The following is a 21489-nucleotide window of genomic DNA, read 5'->3' as shown; positions in this document are numbered from 1 at the left end:
AGAAGTTTTAGGTTCACCCAATTATACATGCTTTCCTGAATGGGCAAGTCCTGAAATGTCTTTCCTGACCATTTATCTTTAATTGATGATTTTCTAATAATCCAAAGCAACTTCCTTAGATACAGCACTTTCCTTGAACTTAAAGGGGATAGAAAGAAACAAGTGTATGTGTATGTCACACACATGAATTTTGACTGGATTGTTAAAAATGAATTTTAGGTCCTTAGAGCAACACCACCTGAAATTTGGTACATTATTTTTCAGGTAGAAAAGGAGAAAATGTGAGTGTCGATTATCAGAACATGCTGATCCTCTATTTCAGGGATGTTAAAGCCACGGCATTTGCTAACATGATGCTCAATAGACATTAGGTGTATAAACAGGATGACTGTATTTCCCAGTCTACCCAGGAGAGTCACCATTTATATCTGCTGTCCTAGTGTTGGGATTTATAGCACCTCTCCACTCTCTTCTCCAAAGGGTCTTATTTTGGATTATGAATCATGTGGTAACTGTGTGCATGAGGTTAGTAAGCATGTTTGTGCCCAGTCGGGCCTTGGGATTCCTCTGGGGTGACGAAGTGGGGTCCCTCTCTTATGTTTAGCGGTGGTGCTTGAGGATTTATGAGTAAGAGCTGGACACATGCTCAGGGAAAATGCAGATACTGAGAAGACAAATCAATCATTCTTGATGAGTAGGGGTGTGTGTTTCTAAAGGAGATGCCTGGGGAGAGTGGAGTTGTTGGATTGTGGACGTTTACCTTCAGGGAACCCTGCATTTGTACCAGATTTGCAGACAGTCACATGGTCTGGACACCTTACAGTAGAGGGGCTGGGGCTTTGATATCATGGCAGCTGCGGTGAAATGGGAAAAGCACTGAATTTGAATACTAGATGTAGCTTGCTAGCTACGTGACTTTAGGGTGCCACAAAGCCTTTTTGAGCTCTTTAGGATGGGAAGAATAATACCACTGTATTAGTCAGTGTTCTCCAGAGAAACACACACACACACACACACACACGTATATGTATGTGTGTGCATATATATATATGGAATTGGCTTGTGCAATTGGCAAACTGGAGGCTCAGGAGAGTTCAGTGATATAGTTCTCATTAGAATCCAAAGGCCTGAGAACCAGGAGAACCTTCTGATGTTGTGAGTTCTAGTCCAAAAGCTGGCAGATTTGAGATCCATGGAGAGCCATTTTTTCAATTAGAATCTGAAAGCAGGAAAAAACTAACATCCCAAACAGCCACTTAGGCAGGGGAATTCCTTCTCACTCAGATATTTGTTCAGGTCTTCAGTTGACTGATGAAGCCCACCCAATGTAGGGAGGACAGTCTTCTCTATCTAGTCTGCCAATTCACATGTCAATCTCACCCCAAAACACCCTCACAGATACACCCAGAATAACGTTTAACCAAATGTCTGGGCATTCTGTGGCCCAGTCAAGTGGACACATAACATTAATCATTACAACCAGCTCACAGGATTTTTGTGTGAAATAAAATGTATAAATATGCATGTGTACATATATACTAAATTTACTTACTGAAATTGTATGTAAAGAAAAGGGAATCAAATATCATGGACTGAGGACAGTGCAATGACTTGAAGCTTCAAAGCCTGCTTTTATAGAAATTTGTGTAAGCAATTTTAATGTTGCTTCTCACTAAGTGTGGTCTCTGTGTGTGTCTAGGAGAAAAAGAGAGATCTTTGTTACCATGTCTAGTTGCTTTGAAGAAAATGAATTAGAATACCCAAGTTTGACCTTCATTTTTTTGTTTCTAAAAACACTTGCTGTCATAGAATTCAGTTCCTTACTGTCCTGGTTTGACAAATTCAAGAAGCCTTAGACAGAACCTCATTGTTTGGTGCCTGGGGAGAGTGGGAAGCTGGATGCACAGACGGCTCTCCAAACAGGGAAGTCTGTGCAGAGCAAGTGCCTGTCCTCGAGGGTGATTCAGAGGGTCCTCCTTCAGGAGAGTAACAGAAGTGCCACTTGTGTCACAGAAGACTACTGTAATTAAAAAGGAAAAAAGAATGTGCATATAATCAAGTCCAAGGATTACTATATGCTGTTTCTTGCATGCCCACAAACATGTCTGCTCAATGGGCACAATGAACAGCAATTGTCTTCTCCAAGCAATGAAAACCCAAGTAGCCGTTGTCAGTGATGGTGGCATCCTACGGGCTCTCAGTTTGAAGGAGCTTATTGGTAATCGCATGATGTCTCCTCCCTGGGTCAAGCCTCGGAGACGTAGGCATCAGCATTCCTTCTGCATGCCCCCCGAACCCAAGCAGCAATGAGTGCTTGTAAAAGCCACTGTTTGGTGAGAAAGTGAGGACATGGAGCTCTAGCTTCAGTTTTCCCAAACTATCCAGCTGTGCATTTGATCTTGCACCAAACAATGGCAACTTAGATGACAAGCTGAGGCCTTAATCCCCCAAACCAAATGAAATTTCAATGGCCACAAAGGGGTTTCTTCTTTTATTCAGCAGATGTAAGATCAAGGCAAAGTTTTCCCCTGTTCCCTAAGCCCACTACAGCAATGGAGTTTCCTTCTCACCTCTCCAGTGACAGAGAAAGGCCAACTTACAAAAAAAAAAAAAAAAAAAAAAAAAGTAACTCAATCAACCAGAAGCAGAGCCTTTCTTCCATCTATATCATTTTTAAAGCAATCAAGCTACCATTTTCCACCTAAAAATGGGGTTCCGTGAATGTTCTTGAACTTGAGATTCTATCTCCTCTCCTGTTCTCTGATGGTGGAATGCGGATGCAGATCCAGAGAGAAACTCTTTTGTTCTAGATCAGAGCTTTCCAACCTGAGTTCTTGAATGTGCATAGGTTTGTTGAGCTATTGATTCTCCTGTCCTCAGGGCAGAAATTCCTGAACCTGACCAGTAGATTTTATAAATACCACTACTTTCTATGTGTACCATTACATGAAAACTTGGGGAAACACTGTTCCTGCAAACACCTTCCAGCAATTTTGTTCTTTGCCATCCTGTTTATCTCAGCTGCCACATCCAGGATTCATCAAGGTACTGCTATCCTCACGTAGGTCATAACATCTCTGGAATATAAGAAAATCCTATAGCCGCCTGCATAGACACATTCTCCAAGCACACTCTGTTTTTTCTTTGTAACTACTATTCAAAGTTCAGGCATGCAGAGTACAGGTCACGCCTTTGTGAATTAATGGCTCTTTGATGTTATGACCTAGAGTTATGAAATAAGTGAGGACCAAATATTACTTAAGTTTACCTACCAATCCCACTCTGAAGTTAGCTCATTAGTTACGTTGGTTTATTTCCCTTCTCAATAATATGCTTAGCTACTACTGTGGTTTGGATATAGTTTGTTTGTCCCCACTAAATCTCAAGTTGAAATTTGATCCCCAGTGTCGTGGGAGGTGTTGGCTCAGGGTAGTGAGTGAGTTCTGGCTCTCCTAAGACTGGATTTGTTCTTGAGAAACAAATTAATTCCCCGGATAGCGGGTTGTTATAAAGGCAGGAAGCCCATCAGGTGCGGTCTCTGTTTGCACTTGCATGTTCCCACTTCCCCTTTGAACTTCTCTGTCATGCTTCAGTGCAGCACAAATGGCCGCACTAGAAGCCGAGCACATGCTGCTGCCATTCTTCTTGCACAGCCTGCAGAACCATGAGCTAAATAAACCTCTTTATGAACTAAATTACACAGCCTCAGGTATTTTTTTATAGCAACAAAAAATAAACTAAGATCGCTCTTGTCCATCCAAGTTCACAGGCAGTGATAAATAAAGTGTACCAGGTTTGGGTGATGATGTTGCTTAAAAAATATAGCAACCCTGAAATTTGCAGCCACAATAGTGATGTGACAAAGCAAGTCCTTGACCAGTAGCACATCTCAAAAATGAAATATTCTCCAGCCTTTCCCACAGAGAAATCAGAGACCAAACATTTCAATTTCCTTTATCCTATTACCACAGACATTAGACCTGAGAGACGCAATGAAGCATATCCTGTCTTCTATTTATTTCTGCTTAACGCCAGTTGGAAGAGCATCTCTGAGTGCCAGGTTCAGGTCTGATTTCCTTCCTGAAATTGCAGTCTGGGTCTTACTCCACTGACACTGATACAGAGCCAACAGAACATTCCATAGAGTTAATAAGACACAGGCAACTCCAACTCCCAATTTGACGAACTTAAGGCATCTGCAACTCTACAGTTCACTGTCCACATTAGCAAGACTTTAGCCTTTGACTGTCTATATTAATGTAATTTTTCTCTTCTAGGAAACCTTTGCCGAGATGATAAACTTACAAATTACTTTATGGTATCTGGGTCTTCTCAAAAATATATTTATCTGGAGAATAGACTTGTCAACTGAGTCCTTATCCCCATCTCAGGCAATAGATTGCTTAACTAGTCTCAGTAAATAACTGTTTTCTCACCAAACAATGGCCTATTCTTGGAAACTTTCTTCAAAGTCTCCTTTTGCTGCACCCACTGGTCCCAAACTATAATGCATGCGCTTTACATAATCCCAATTAGCCCATTCCTAATAGCATGAAAAGACTTATCTTAAAACAGAAACTCAACCCTCGCCAAAACCATAGAACTCCCCTCAGATGCTATTTAGATGCTGTCATAATGGTTTAGTGGATTCCTTGCTGCAGCAAGCAGTAAACTCAGCTTTACTATATCAATGGGTTGTTTTGGTGCCCTTTTGGGGGAAGTTAGAAGTTAACAGTTCCTATCCACAAAATGTAGAAAATGTAAACAGATGTCATATTCATATATTACCGTTATAGCAGTTTGCAAGCTAAATACCAATTTTCAGGTATATGTAATAATATTTCTCAGATAGACATGAAATTCCCAAAGCCTAATACATGAAATCAACAGGGGGTTCTGATTAACAATGGAGAGCTCTGAGCCCACTAGGTGGATTCTGCTTCATTGTGTCTGGGAAGGGAGTCAAACGTCTCCCATTCCAGCTAAGCAGGTAGCTGATGCAGATGGTCTTCAGGCAATATTGGAGAAACAGTACCCTAGACCCACATGGCTGTTTTCAGCTACAGACCATAGTGGAGAGTTAATATTATCTATTGTCAGAGTTCAGGCTGCTATAACAACATACCATAGACTGGGTATCTTATAAACAATGGAAATTTATTCTTCAGAGCTCTAGAGGCTGAGATGTCCAAGATCAGAGTGCCAGCATAGTGGGGTGCTGATGAAGACTCTCTTTTGAGTGGCAGACTGCCAACTACTCATTGTGCCCTTACATGGCCAAAAGAGGGCAAGGGAACTCTCTGGGGTCCCTTTATAACGGCACTAATCCTGTTCATAAGGGATATACCCTCATGACCTAATTACCTCCCAATTACCTCCCAAAGGCCCCACCTCCTAGTACCATCACACTGAGGTTAAGACTTCAACACATGAATTTTGAGGGACACAAACATTCAGTCACTTGCACTGGGGGGAAGATATAAATAAAATATATATCTTCTCGTTTCAGCAAAATAAAGTGCCAGTCAGCCCAGGCTGGGCATACATAGATAAAGACCTACGAGCTTAAGTCAACAGAAAATGAATCCTTCATCAAATGGTTAACTAGGAAATCATGCTTCTATTTCCTATGTGTGGGAAGTAAGGGTGATGGGCTGGAAAACCACACCTGTAAAAACAATTTCCCCCTTGAGTGGCATCAAAAGTTCCTTTTTTACCTTAATTTAAGAAAAGTGCTACAGTGGGACAAATGTTTATTGAGGAATTTTCTTTGCCAATTCTTTAAAGCCTCTCACCTCTTATTCAGTGCACTCATTGATTCTAACATCTCTGATATTCCCACGCTGCATCAGTTCCAGTCTCTGACAGGGGACATTAGCTTCACTGTCTACCAGCATTCACAGTGGACAACATCCGTGTCTTGCATCCTGCATAGCACTGGCTCCTGATCTTTGGTCATTTCTTCATTCTCCAACAGGAGATCAAGGCTCTGTTTGTCTGTCCCTTCTATCCCAGGGGCTTGCTTCCTGCACAGAAATGACTTGGACCATGGAGTTTTGCTTAACGTGGGCCATTTTCCTTTTGCTCCCACATTTGTTACAGTGGATCTTTCACCTCAACCCTTTCAGGCCATTATTTTCATTCTCATTCTCAGGTCTATGTGAGATGGGCAGGCAGGTTTATTCTTCAACCTCTGGGATTTCAGCCACACACATAGTGTATCCCTTGCTGGAGAAGCATCATTTGTTCTTCTAACCGTCTCCTTCATTTCTGTCATATGAGCCCATCAGGAGCCACTGTGATGACGCTGATGGGACCTGAGTCTGTCCGAAGCATCCTTTGCTGAAATGCAGCATGCCCACATTGCCTCTTTGGCAGGGTGACTCTGCACGGGAGGTTTTACTAACACAGTACCAGCAGCACAATGAAGTTCAGCTTATGCTGGGTGATACTTTATTAACATTTGACATTTGGACTATGGGACTAGCTATTATTTATTTATTCTTTTGTTATTTTTCGGAGTCCATGTTTCCATACTGTGCCTTCCCCATGGGACAAGCCTTTTACCTGTATGTGGTAATCGTTATGTCAGATGGTTTTCTGGACCTTTGGGAACCCCTTCTTTTACCTCTGTGAATAGACCCAATTCCACAATTAGAGATACATTTCTTTGACTTAAAACAAATACTAATTGGTATGATGGATAAGACTTTCAGGTCACTTTTGTAAGGCAGTTTCCTTAGAAGCCGACCTTGATATGAGAACTTGTGCACAAGAAATTTAATAAGAATGCACTCTCCAGGGAGATCACTAAGAAGAGGGGGCACCTGGGGAACCTGGAACTAAATTTTGGATCCGCCATCCAGGAGAAACTAATTTCTCCTGACTAGGACAATTTAATTGCCCTGACCCAGGGGACATCCTATGTGTTCTACTTGAACCATGCCCTTTAATAATAAAAGCCAATTTCACATTGTGCTGAGGACAGGCACTGGGCATACATTGCCTGAGGTTTCAGAGGATCCTTTAGGAATAACATGGCAGAGAATATTCTTTTTCATTATTCCATGCTCCTTCTGGTAACACAGCCAGTATGTGTCCTTGAAAAGGTGCATGTATGTGTGCTGGAAATGAACATAGTCTCCTCTGAAATCTCTGAAATTACAGAACTTTATGAAGCCTATCCCTTCTGATTGGTTGTAAAGCACCAGCTTGACCAATTATAATCTAGTAGAATCTTTCAGTTGCAATTTTGCAAAGTCTTCTTACTGCAAAAGAGTTGAAGTCTTCTAAAGAATGTCTTCTTTACAATCTGTATTTATGATTGAGGAAATTATTGAATACGGCAACCCACTTAAGTTTTTGTTATATTTTTTTCACACCATTCCCTTTGCTAGGCACAATATTTATATTTATGATTTGCAAACCCATTTAACAGTTAAATATTTTGTCTTAACTATTCATCCTAATTAGGTTAGCGTAATTGCAATACCTGGTATTGTTTTTGTCCTGTTTATTTGGATCTTATTATGATTTCCCTTTGATACATCTTGAAATTCTACAGACATTTCTTCTGACCCAGAGTGGATCTCAATTTTTGACTCTCTGCCATCCCAAATTTCATCATCTTATTTTATTTCTAATTTGCTTAGAATTCACAGGACAGTAATGTTAGATGTCTCATGTAAGACTCTGAATTTGAAAAGAATATCTCTTCTTACTTTTCCTTTCCAACTTATCTCCATAATTGTGAAAGAGAATGAAAACAAAATGAAATGAAACAGAATAATGTATAAGGGAACTTTGAGAATAAGTTGGTTATATAAAAACAGAAACAAAAACAAAACAAAAACGAAGAAGCAGCCCCAGGATTGACCTATTTCACCTTGAACAGTTTGATGTTCCACGCGGTAGATGCCCTTCCAAGTTCCTGAGTCAGTGACTTGATGAGTGGCCTAGTTGCCTCTAAGTTTCATTTTACCACGTGTTTTCCCAGGACCTATTTTAGAAATCACACCAAAATGCCTACCAACTCCCTCTCACCTCCCCCTGCGCCCTGTGATCTTATTTCAAACATTTTACAACATATATGTGCAGAGTTGGGCTTTATTACAGATCAGTGATACCAAGTAACAACAAAAAATAAAACCTGATATATCTTTTAAAAACCAGATGATATGAGAGTATAATTTATTAATTTAATAAATATTTATTAAGTTCTTATAATGAGCCAGGCACTGCATTAGGTTTAGGTTTAATGGGGACCAAAACCAAACACCTTCCCCACCCCCACGGAACTCCTGGGGAGGGTAGATATTCATATTTCCAGATGCATAAGATGTCCATACAAAATGACTGTAATTCCTGGTGAGCTTATAAAACAGACAGGCTTATCAGGGAATGACATTCAGAGGAAGTTGTGCTTGGGCTAAGATTCTTAGGTGATAACTAAGTAAAGCACAATGGAACCATGTAGGTATCATTCTAAGAATGGAGAGTAGCCTGTCCAACAATGAGGGCAGAAAAAAAACGCAGATTTTCAAGGAATGGAAACCAGTCTGGTGCAGCTGAGCACAAGGAGCAAGAGAAATCACAAGAGGTGACGTAGGCAGAGGCCAGGAAATGGACTATGTTCTCAGTCACATGTTAGCAATGCCAGACTTTATTCTAAGAGATGGGAAGCTGTTGATGTTTCCCATATCATCAACTGTGCACTTAAAATGGATATTTCACTTGCTCTAGTGTGGAGAACTAAATGGACACACACAGGATATATTCAGGGAGGCTAGTAGAAAACTGTGGCCATAGCTGAAAGGTGACATAGCTTAGACTAGGGTTTTACAGAGGGCATGGAAAGAAACATAGACTTGAGAAGTGGTTTGGAGGTAAACTTGATAGACCTTTCTGAGAAATTATGTATGGGAGAGAGAGGAAAGTCAAAATGCCCTCTAGGTTTCTGCCTTGTACAACACTTAGAGATTGGGAACACTAAAAATAACAGATTTGGAGGAAAATAATAATTTTGGTTTTGAAGTTAAAATTGTGACGCCTTTGAAACATCCAAGTGAGCATACTGAGAAATAGTTGGATTTAAGATGTGAAGCTAGAAATTAGATCTTGTCTAGAAATATAAAATCAGAAGTAATTTGCATACATATGGTATGACTAGATGGTAACTGAGAGTAGATGGGATTATATGAGAAGAAAGAAGCTTAAGAAGAAAAGAGAGCCCAAGACTGAGCTTTAAGAACACTAATACTTAAATGGCAGAAGAGAACTGAATAAACATGCAAAAGCAATACAGGAGAAAAAGACCACCCACAGATAAATAAGCAAAAGACATGAATGGCATTTCATAGAACAGAAAAAGCAAATAGGCAATAAAAGCATGAAAATATGACCACTCTTAACGAGTAATCAAGAAAATACAAAGTAAAATAACAATGAGACATCACCATTTTACAAGACAAATTAAAAAGTAATAAAACCAAGTATTGGGGAGTATGTGGAGCAATGAGGATACTTTTTGTTTGTTTGTTTGTTTCGAGACAGAGTCTCACTCTGTCACCCAAGCTGGAGGGCAGTGGCGCGATCTCCTCGGCTCACTGCAACCTTTGCCTCCTGGGTTCAAGCGATTCTCCTGCCTCAGCCTCCTGAGTAGCTGGTATTGCAGACGCCTGCCACGACACCCGGCTAATTTTTATATTTTTAGTGGAGACGGGGTTTCTCCATATTGGACAGGTTAGTCATGGACTCCTGACCTTAAGTAATCCACCCACCTCAGCCTCCCAAAATGCTGGGATTACAGGCATGAGCCGCTGTGCCTGACTGCAATGAGGATTCTTAAATGCTGGGAAAAGTACAAAATATCTATGAGAGTGTGGAGAAGCAGTTTGGCATTGTCTTGCGAATTTCAAGATGCACATAGGCTATTATAGCCCAGCAACTTTGCTTCCTGGCATATCCCCAGTGCATACCAGTGTGCATGAGCAAGAATGTTCATGGCAGCATTATTTCTAATAGCCAAAAATTGTAAACCATGCAAAGGTCCAATGACAGGACAATAGAGAAATATATCGTTATATACTTATACAATGTGTCCATAGAATGAAAAACTCAGCTGCAAAAATGAATTACTTGTGTTGATAACATTATCATGGCCAAATAACAAACACGGCATTGAATGTAAATACGAGACACAGAAGAAGACATCCATACGGTATGATAACCATTCATATAAAATTCTAACACACAACACTAAATTATTTAGGGAAATAATAAGACTAGAAAGAATGCAGGAGAATAATAGTAAAATATTCAAAGTGATGCTTATCTTTGGTACTGAGGTTGAGGTTTTGCATTGGGAATGATCACATGTGGCCTCCAAATCTCGGATAAAAGTGTTTTTACTATGCTGGGTGACATGCTTATATTTTTTATATACATGTACACTTTCTTTATATTCTTTTATATGCATAGTATCCACACAATAAAACAAAAAATTAGGAATCAAATCAGAAGTAAAAAGTAAACAAGGCACATCTCACATTTAGAAGGCAGTGTGCTTTGGGATGGTGCAAAGGTCTGAGAGGTGGCCAGGGAAAAGATGGCCAAAATGCGGATGGGGTGAAGACCATTGACTTTATGGAGGTCAAGAATTCAGCAGGTCCATATCTTTGGGTAGTCAACAAGGTGAGTATAGACAGCAACCAGGACGATCTGAGGCATCGACAGCATGTGGAACTGAGAAGGCATTGGGGTCTCTTTGCATGTAGGGGTCTACACATTGGATGCTGTTGGGAACAGCACTGGGGAAAGCCTTCACTCATTTTCAGTCACTCGTTTTTCTTCCAGAGGAGGGTCCCAAAGCTGTAAGAGAGAAAACTACTTGAGCAGAGGCCCCAGCTGGGCTGGTGGCCCCGAGGCTGACTGCGGTGTGTGCTCCTCCCTCAGGAGGCCATTGCCTTGCTTGACATCTCCTGGGCAAGTCTCCACAGAACCTCTTATCAAACTCCAAAGTCATCTTCTTCCACACGTATGTTCTAGTTTGAGTGGAAATGACAATAACCACGTTTGCGTAACCTACTGATTATGCCCAATGGATGGCAAGAGCTTTGTGTTGAGTGGCTCGTGTGTGCTAATTCTAATTATTCCCCATGATTTTTCTGTACAGTAGTTAGTTTCCAGACTGATGACGGGAAGAGTGCTCAGTGCAGATGGGAAATGCTTATTATGCTAATTGAGTTCTGCGTTGTTAGTGGAAATTATTAACTGGAGATGTTAGCAATACCTCTGGTAGAATTAAGGGGGTGACAAAGTAAAAGGCCAAGATAAATGGCACCATGTCTGTAGGATGGACTGGGCCAGGGCTCCAAGTTCAAAGGAAGAAAATAGAGATTTTGTTTGTTAAAAATTTTAATTTAAAGGGTATCACATTTTTATAGTAAAATTTACTGGAAAAGAGATAAAATGATAGGGAAATGGTTTCTGTTTATTTACTAATTCTAAATATGATAATTGCATTAAAATATAGTATTTTAACAAGAAGACACTTAGGAAATGTCAAGAAGAATAAAAGAGCAATAATCCAATGTAAACTCTAATATAACATCCATATAGTTAGACAGGAACACTGAACAAAAAAAGAAGAAAAGAAGTCAGATAGAAGAAGAGTCTCTAACAACATGTACAGAGGACAGTTGTTGAAACTAGTTGAAAAAATAACTTTAACTCCTACCAATATTCTGAAAAGCCAGAAATTGATTGTTTTTCTAGAAAAGTATAGATTAAAAATGGATTCAAGCAGGTAAATAATTTGAACATACCAATAAACATGGAAGGCCTTAAAAAATTCAAAGAATTCACTTTAATGAGTGTCCTGAAACGAGACAGTTCTAAAATTATGTTTTTTCATGCATTTGTGTTTTAGGTAAATCTGGTGTTTCATAGTATATTCCATAGAATATGATGGCGAGTAGGGAAAGAAAAAGAAATTTTATTTTATTTAATTATGAAGATAGCATAACCCTTATACTAAAATCTGAAAAATAAATTATAGAAAAATTATAGATCATCTTAATTTGATATGCTAATATCTATAATGAAATTAAACAATAAGGTATAAATATCCGTAACGAAATTGAACAGTAGAATATATAAAATATTAAAACCAGAAAGGGCTTATAACTCAGGAATTAAATAATCCTTCTCTATTAATTAATGTATAGCTACTTCACAATATACATTTCAAGAAAGATAACATATATTTAAAAATATGGTAGGTGTTAAAAATACTTGCTAAATGTTCATTTCCGTTTAAAAATGTAGTGTTACATAGTAGAATGGTAGCCTTTCAAAACATATGCCCACATCCTATTCCCTGGAACCTGCAACCTTACTTGGAAACAGAATCTTTGCAGATGTAAACAACTTAAAGACCTCGAGATGAGATCATCTGTATTATTTGAGTGGGCCCTAAATCCAATGACAAGCATATTATAAGAGACACACAGACGAAAGGCAGGCACAATACTAGGAAGCAACTAACCAGAGAGGCAGAGATTGGAGTGATGCGGCCATAAGCCAAAGGCCAGCTGGAGCTGCCAGAAGCTGGAAGAGGCAAAGGAAGAAAGTATCTGTTGCTTTGGAGGCACTAAAAGGACACCTTGATTTTGGACTGCCGGCCTCTAGAATATGAAAGAACACATTTCTGTTATTTTAAACCACCAGTTGGTGGTAAGTTTTTACATCAGTCTCAGAAAACTAATTTAAAAACTTTAAAGTATTAATAGATGGATACTTATGTATTATGATGAAAAGTATCTATCTGCCAACGCTGGACTCTGTAAGTGCTTAAAATATAACTGCAACTTCTCCTGGATAGAGCAAAGGATTTGATTGCTAAATCTTTTGGACCAATCATGAGTTTATGACAGTGGACAAGTTTGCTTGTAGGTAAACCTCACTTTCTTCATCTCTAAAACGTGGTTAACAAAACACCATTCAGAGTAATTATTACAATTTGACATAATGCATTAAAAAGTTTACACAGTTCCCAGCACACAATAAGCACGTGATAAATATATTCCATACACACAGATACACAAAAGGACATGGTACCTGGGGCCACGCTGATTGACATCTGGCAGCTTCTAATTTCATTATGTGGTTCAGTAAGACAAGTGCTATTGTACAAAAGTAAAGCTAACAAGCTTAAACCAAAGTTTATTTTTTTCTTCATATGACTCAAAAAGAAATAACATCAAAGAAAAATCAGTTACAATTACAAAATGACTAAACTATAAGAAAAGTGTAAGGACCTTTTGTATCGGCTATGAATGAGAACATACTTTCCCAAAAGCTGTCTTTAAAAGCTGTGAACACCAGAGAAAAGCAGTGCCGCACACCCAGGTGCTCTCTGTGGGCGTGCTCTGCAGATGACTTGGGGTTAGGAAAGTGAGTTTCTAGAATTCTTGGCTTGTGCATCTGAGAGGTACTTTCCTCGGCTTGTTTGTTTTGCGTGAAGAGTTGCTAGGAATGATTCAGAATGTACATGTTTGTGTAGTGAAAGTCCTGGGGTTCTGGCATCCAGTGAGGGTCCTGGCCCCTGTACAAAGTCTTCTTTCTCATGTGGGAGCTGGCTGCTCCCCGGAAGTGGGTATAAAAGTCAGACAGCATTCCTCTCATTCCCAACCAAACAGGTCTCTCACAGAGAGGGAAATAAATGTCCCACTGGCCTGTGTGGGGGCGTTCCGGAAAAGGGCCTATTTCCATTCTCCAGGCACTTCTACAACTGCCCTGATGTCTGGAAGAGCCTTCGTGATTGGTGAAAATACAACTGATTTTCTAGTAGAAATATAGCTTCCCTCCAGAAGATCTATTCCACCTGAGCAAGAAGCTGGTTCTTTAGGCTGAGGATGGTATGGAGACTGTCTTAGTCTGTTTTGTGCTGCTATAACAAAATACCAGAGACTGAATAATTTGTAAATAACAGAAATGTATTCCTCACAGTTCTGGAGGCTGGGAAGTCGAAGACCAAGGTGCCAGCAGATTTGGTGTCTGGTCTGTTTCTAAGGTGGCACCTTGTTACTTCATCTTCCAGAAGATACAAAGGATGTGTCCTCACATGACAAGGCCAAGTGAGCTGAATACTGCTTGAAGTCTCTTCTATAAAGGCCTCAATTCCATTCTCAAGAGAGGGGCCCTCATAGCTTAATCACCTCTTAAAGGTCTCATCTCTTACTACCACCACATTGACCATTAAGATTCAACACCTGAAGTTTGGAGGGGACCCATTCCAACCCTAGCAGGGATTACCTCTCCTGTCCTTCCACTCATCAGTGAAAGGATGCCTCTGTCCCCCTCTCCTGTTTCTGGACCTATTAGATTTAAGGACATTTAGAAAGGGAGAAATGGCTGAGGAAGTTAAAAAAAAATGGTTTGATAAACTGTGGAATAAAAATAATCTCCATAGAACTTAATTGGTACTTTTTACTTGAGGGAAATCCATGTGGCCCCAGTTAGCATGATTATTTTTGGTCATGCTTGACATCTATGTTTGCAAGAATATTAATTTATTTGGCTGACAAGCCATGAAATGTCTATCTTTATGTTTCCCATTTGGTTATTCATCCTATGCATTAGGGAAAACACAAAGAAACCTAAAGACACCAGTAGGTGGTCCAAGTGGGGAGGCAAACACTGGCAACTGACACATCTTGCTATGTGTAAAAATCTATGCTCACGTCGCTCTGTTTTATTCCACAGGTTGTGCTATTAGAGATTAGAGGAGTTAATGTAGGTGCAGCTTCCTCACAGAAAATGCAAGACACACAAGGGCTGCTTTCAGCATTCTGCTTGATCGTGCACAGCTAGACGCAGAGCACTCAGGAGCACACAGGAGGGTAATAAAAATCACATCCACCATGCTTTCTGGTTTGCAAAAGCCCTTTGGGAATGTCATCTCATGTGCCTGAATGCAGTGCTCCCTACCTCTGCTTCTCACAGTGGGGTTCTCCTTCCAGATCCTGGTGTCCAGGAGAAACCTAGACATGGTCTTTATCACATTCAGACACTTCTCCATCTGCATGAGCAAGTACAGGATAAGGTGCTATGTTTTACTATCTTTGTACTGTCAGGGATGCAGATGGATAAGTGGTATTTTGGCACTAATTTGCAAAGCTAAAGGCCCCAGCTCCTAGTTACAAAGAATTTTTTGCTTCTCTTTAGTGGTTTCCATAGCAGTGTGTTTCTCCCCACAGAACAAGCTCTGGAAGAATTAGCACAAGAGTTTTGGAGATGATACTACTTGTTTCATTTTACAGTGCTTACCCTTTGACAATAGCTGCGTTCTTTGCTACATCTGAGGTTCATGATATTTTTATACCAAATCAAGAACTTAATTTAAAATACTGTCCAAAATAACATCTCATACAAACTTGGAAATCTTGGGAAAAAAAAATAACCAACCATTATGAAACTTTTAACCCACTCTATAATTTCAAGGGATAAAAAGCTCTTTATGTGAAAATGTATTGATAACATTTTGCCAAACACACAAGGACTCGAATCTTTCCCATGATGAAAAGATTTCTTCACCCATTGGGAAGATGTGTTTGCTTCTTATTTCATTCAACAAACACTTACTACACACAAGGTACATGCCAGCATTGCTTCAACCCTTGGAGATATACAGCCCTAGGACATTGTCCTCAAAGAACAGCAAGAGTGTAGTGTGAGATTTTTTAAAAAGGAAAAGATGAAGGCAATATGGCAGTGGTTGAGGGAGGGCTTTCCAGTGTCTGTGGAGTATGATGGAGGGGCACGGAGGTGGGGGTGGCCGTCCTCACTCCTCCGTCTGCGTGGAGGGTCAAAAGAGGAAATATACCAGCATGTGCTGGATTTGTACTATAAGCCAGACACTGCACTGTGCTGGTGGACACTCCAGCCTTACACCTTGCAAGTATGTTTGTACATATAGATTTTAAGAATTCAACAATTCTAGGAGATAGCTAGCCTTAATCCCATTTTCCAAATGATAAAACTCAGGCCAAAAGTGTTCCCAAATATATTCCTTACCCATCCCATTCTAAAGCCAAGTGTTGTAACACCGCTTCACCAGTCTTCAAAAATATGTAGCAATTGTCCAGATTTCACCATGAGCAAATGGACAAATGCCCAAATTAGCAAAAGTCGGGGTTAAATTTTGGAATAACATTAATTCAGGATTAATTAGGATTAATCAATTAATTAGGATTGAGATGGGAAAGGAGCAGCGGCAGATTGGGCAACCCTGGCATGCTTCAGTCAGGAAGGAAAACTAAATGTGGGTTGGTGCCGAAGGATTTTATAATGGGGACGGATGTTTTTAGGCGATAGCAGGTAGACACTGCATTGACAGGTGAAAATAGGGAGCTGTTGCCCAGGGAAGACCCCTTCATGCCCTGGCTATGAGATGCAGAGGAGTCATTGTTGTACTGGCTTCATGATTCTTCAGGTACCAAAGTCTGAAAACAACATTGGGTTTAGTTCTGGAGGCCCGGGTGATCCCTTCCTTCCAATCAATTGCTCTTCCTTCTGCGGAAGAACTGAATAAAGAGGGAACTTTCCATGAGGCTGAAATGTCATCCTTTGATCTCCAATCCACTATGCACCTGGACTGGACTAGCCTCATGACACCAGGATAGGACCTAATTCCAGCATTCAAGCAACTCCATGTCTGTACATATAAAACATGATTAAGGGGCAATCAAATAAGGACCACCACCCCTTCTGCCTGGCTGGACAGCAGTCCTGGAGGGCAGTCAGGTCCCTGGTGGCTGCTCCTGCTGCTGCTCAGCACCAGGTGGGCACAGTGGTCCAGGAGGACTGTGGCCTCCACACTCCTAGACGGGGAAAGCCCCCATGTGGAGGCTCCCGCTTTGCAAGGGATTTGGGGGATTGCCTCTACAGGAGCTTTTTCAAATATGCATCAAGTGTAGACAGTTCTGCAGGCCTGGGACTTCTGGACATCCCGGACTTTAGTCTTTCAGGCTCAGCTCAGGTGCAATGGGTAGGCAGAGGCTTTGTTAGTGCTTTGGACCTCCTGGGACCTCCTAGGAGTTAGCAACTGTCATGTCCACAGCAAACCCTTGCTGCTTATGTCCTTGGACCTTGGGCACACGGCTCATCTGGAGGCTAGAGGGTGAGCAGATTCTGAACAGGGTGCAGTTGGGAGGTCCAACACCCCTCCTGGGCTCAATCAGTCACCTCCTTCCTGGTTATGGCTGGGACCAAGGCGCTGGGACCCTGGAACTGTGTGACCTGGGGCCTGGGACCCAGGCACTGAGACCTCAAGCTGTGACCAGGAGCTGCACCCAGGGAGCTGGGTGGGCAGGTGGAATTCTGGGCACAATCTTTGCCAGCTTTATCTTCCTGAGCAATGTAGAATAAGAACAGGGATAAGGGCTTCTCTGTCTGATTTCTGAGTAAAAGGGAACTGTCTATATTTTCACCGTTACGTATGATATTTGCTATAGATTCTGGTTTTCCTATTTCTAAAGTACTCAGTTTTCATACTAGCAGATTATGAATCTTATATGTAATTTTTCTGCAACTAGTATGAATATTTTTCCTTTTGACATCTATATATATGGTAAGTTTGTTAACACATTTGTAATGTTGTCATTTCAACCTTTAATTCCTGAATTATAACAAATTTGGCATGGTCTATTGTATTTTTTATTTTTTTTTGAGATGGAGTCTTGCTCTGTTCCCCAGGCTGGAGTCTTGTGGTGCAATCTCGGCCCACTGCAACCTCCACCTGCTGGGTTCAAGCGATTCTCCTGCCTCAGCCTCCTGAGTAGCTGGGATCACAGGTGCGCGCCACCATGCCCAGCTAACTCTTATATTTTTAGTAGAGGTGGGTTTTCACCATGTTGGTCAGGTTGGTCTCAAACTCCTGATCTTATGATCTGCCCACCTCAGCCTCCCAAAGTGCTGGGATTACAGGCTTGAGTCACCGTGCCTGGCTGGTCTATTGTATTTTTATGTATATTACTTAGATTCAATTTCCCAATATTTTGCTAAGGAACTTTTTGCATCCTCATTCAGGAATGAAATAGCCTGCAGTTTACTTTTCTTTTGCTTCTCTTATATGATTTTTATTAAGGTTTTGATATGAAACCTTAAATTTTTACATCTCATAAATGGACATAGTGAGTGCTCTCTTATTTTCTGTTGTCTTAAAGACTTTGTGTAAGACTAAAATAATCTACTTAACATTTTGTAGAGCCCACCCAGAAAACTGCCTGAGTGTGATGTTTTCTCTGTAGAAAGATTATTAACTAAAAATTTCTTAAGTATGTGTTATTAAACAAGTTGTGGTTTCTATTCTTCCTTGACCTAATTTTGTTCAATAGTATTTTTGAGATGTTTGTATAATGAAAAGTTGTCCATTTTAGGGTAGACAGGCCTCCACAGTATTCTTTTACTATCTTTTTCTAAGATTTGATTTTGGCTATAGTGATCTTCATTTGCATATCTCATCTTTTACCTATTACCTTACTGCCTTTATTTTCTTTGGTTTGATTCCTTTCTGAAATCTCAGCCTTTTATTCTAGCATGTATTTCAGACTACACATTTTTTTCCTAAAATACTGTTTTAGCTATATCTTCAAATTTTTAATTAGAGTATTTTGTTACCATTCATTTCCAAGTATTGTATGATTTCCCTTATGCAATCTTCTACGATCAATTTTAAAGTGTGGTTTAAATTTTCTAAACATATCTTAGGTTATTTCTTGTTATTGTCCTTTAATTATATTTTAGAGCCATGTTTGTGTTTAGACATGCAATATATTACATGTGATGATCCTGATGCTTTGGTATTCGAGACTTGTTTAGGAAACGGCATGTGGTGAATATTTGTAATTGCTCTGTGTGCCTGAGAAAAATACATATTCCGTAACTGTTGGGTAAAGACTTCTTTAAAACAAAATCAAATAATTACAGTCATGGAAATATATACTTCTGCCACAACAGGGACCATCTGACAGAATTCAAGAAAAGGATGCAGCTGTAGCATTTCATTGATTTTTATCTTTCAGTCATTCAATACATATTTGAAGTATCTACCGTGTACCAAACACTGTTTTAGTTTTTGTGGAGCTTATATTTTAATTAGAGAAAGCAGATCATTAAGTATGCAGATAAGTAAACACATAATGCCATATTAGTGAGTCATACATGCCACAAAGACACCGGAATAGTGTGATGAGATTAGAACGCGGAGGAAGATCAGGATAAAGCTGTTGGAGTGGCACTGGAGCTGACATCAGCAGAATGAGCCGGTACAAAGTCCCTGAGGAAAGGACAAGCTTGGTGTGCTCATGAGACAGAAGGAAGTTCAGTAAGGGAAGGACAAGTGGAAGGTTACTATGTGGACTATCAGGGTTGAGACACTGAAGTTCAGGAGTCTTGTTGCCAGGCTCCAGAAGAGGTAGTTTTCCAATCAAGATGGGAGCTCACCTTCTATTGGTGCTCAGCCATGCATTAGAAGTTTCATGTCTCCAGTGGCTTGTTCAACTAGACTTCTCTCCCTCTAATTGCCATTTCATTTTAGAAAAACGAAATGAATGGGTGTGCATATAATTACCATTTAGGAAAGAGAGTGGCAACTAAATATAATTAATAAGGACCCAAGTTACTAGGAATATACAGTGTTGAAGCTGAACTGAATCTGAAATTTACCACAGCTCATTGCCCAAGCAAATTGCTGTTACGTAGCATAACTCCTAATTCATTAATAGAATTTTAAAATATTATAGTTTGTTTGTGCACGTGTGCATCTAGGATAAAATGATTCATTTAAAATGTTACTAAAGGCCAGGCTCGGTGACTCACCCCTGTCATCCCAGCACTTTGGGAGGCCAAGGCAGGCAGATGGCTTGAGCCCAGGAGTTCGAGACCAGTCTGGGCAACACGGCAAAACCCTGTCTCTGCAAAAAAATACAAAAATAACTGAGCATGGTGGCATGCACCTGTAGTCCCAGCTACTTGGGAGGCTGAGGTGGGAGGATTGGTTGAGCCTGGGAGGTCAAGGTTGCAGTGAGCTGTAATCATGCCACTGCACTCCAGCCTGGGCAACAGAGTGAGACTTTGTCTCAAAAAACAAAAATTAAATAAAAATGAAAAATAAAATGTTACCAGAATAAAATTTTCAGAATTTACAAGTATAAACCCATCAAATTGTGTTTCTTCTGAATGAGGAAGCTGGGGTTTGAGTTGGACGCATCCCCTTATGTTCTTGAACACCCTACTTCCCTCACTGAAGAATTATCATAGTGCAGTGTAGTCACATGAGGGCAGGACTCATGTCTATTTGGTCCACCACAGTAACAGTGCCCATCACTGTTACTGATATGTAGGAGCTTATTTTGTTGAGTTAATGATTAATTGCATGCAATCCGTTAGTCTATTCCACAATTCTGTCTGTAGATCATTCCTACTTGTAACATATTAATTTTATATATATATAAAAGTTCTAATTTAGAAATGGATGTAATCAGAACAGATAACATGGCTCTTTTTGTTAGGATTTAAAACACATAGCCCTATAAAGACAATGATAAAATATACTAATAGAGACGACTCCAGTAATTAAGTACTTAGTTTTAATTAAAAGAGGCAACAGTGGGGCTGCCTGAGGACACATCTATAAAGACACAAAGCAAAGAACTCACTGGGTTTTTGTGGGTATGACTTGTTTTTAAGCGTAAAGGAGCATTGATTCTGTGACCTCCACATGCCCCGTGTGCTCATACCTGCTGCCAGCCTCCATATCCACGGATTCTCTGGTCCATAACAGGAAAGGCAAATGGAAGCTGCTTAGGGACTACTTTGCATTATGGTGGAGATGGGCTGGAAAGAATGGAAATGAAGTTGGAGAAGAGAAAGAGTGGGGCTCTCCAGTTAGCCTTGGGACTTGATATGGGTCAAATTTTTCTTATTTTTTTAATTTTTCTTTTTTTTATTTCCATCGGTTATTGAGGAACAGGTGGTGTTTGGATACATGAGTAAGTTTTTAGTGGTGATTTGTGAGAATTTGGTGCACCCATCTCCCGAGCAGTATACACTGCACCCAATTTGTAGTCTTTTATCTCTCACCGCCTTCCTACCCTTTACCCGCGAGTCCCCCAAGTCCATTGTGCCATTCTTATGCCTTTGCATTCTCATAGCTTAGCTCCTACTTATGAGTGAGAACATACGATATTTGGTTTTCCATTCATGAATTAACTTCATTCACTTAGAGTAATAGCTCCAATCTCATCCAGGTTGCTGTGAATACCATTAATTCATTCCTTTTGATGGCTGAGTAGTATTCCGTATGTTGAAGCCTTAACCCCTAATGTGACTGTATTTGGAGGTAGGACCTTTAAGGAGGCAACCAAGAATAAATGGGGTCATAAGAGAAGGGCCCTAATCAGACAGTGCTGGTGTCATTGTAAGAAC

At 40.2% G+C, this 21489-nt stretch overlaps 1 long non-coding RNA gene across 1 annotated transcript in view; it reads left to right on the top strand.

Moving 5' to 3' along the window:
- Nucleotides 1–21489, top strand: part of LOC105373408 (uncharacterized) — a 66343-nt gene that overhangs the window by 24050 nt on the left and 20804 nt on the right. Inside the window, exons 2-3 of the long non-coding RNA XR_922750.1 lie at nucleotides 10855–11035; nucleotides 14767–14903. This is a non-coding gene — a long non-coding RNA (uncharacterized LOC105373408). The remainder of the gene's footprint in view (nucleotides 1–10854; nucleotides 11036–14766; nucleotides 14904–21489) is intronic.

Source organism: Homo sapiens, chromosome 2 (assembly GCF_000001405.40).
Source record: "Homo sapiens chromosome 2, GRCh38.p14 Primary Assembly".
Lineage (NCBI taxonomy): Eukaryota > Metazoa > Chordata > Mammalia > Primates > Hominidae > Homo > Homo sapiens.
The sequence above is the reverse complement of the archived record's forward strand: the minus strand, read 5'-3'. Positions and strand labels throughout refer to the sequence as shown.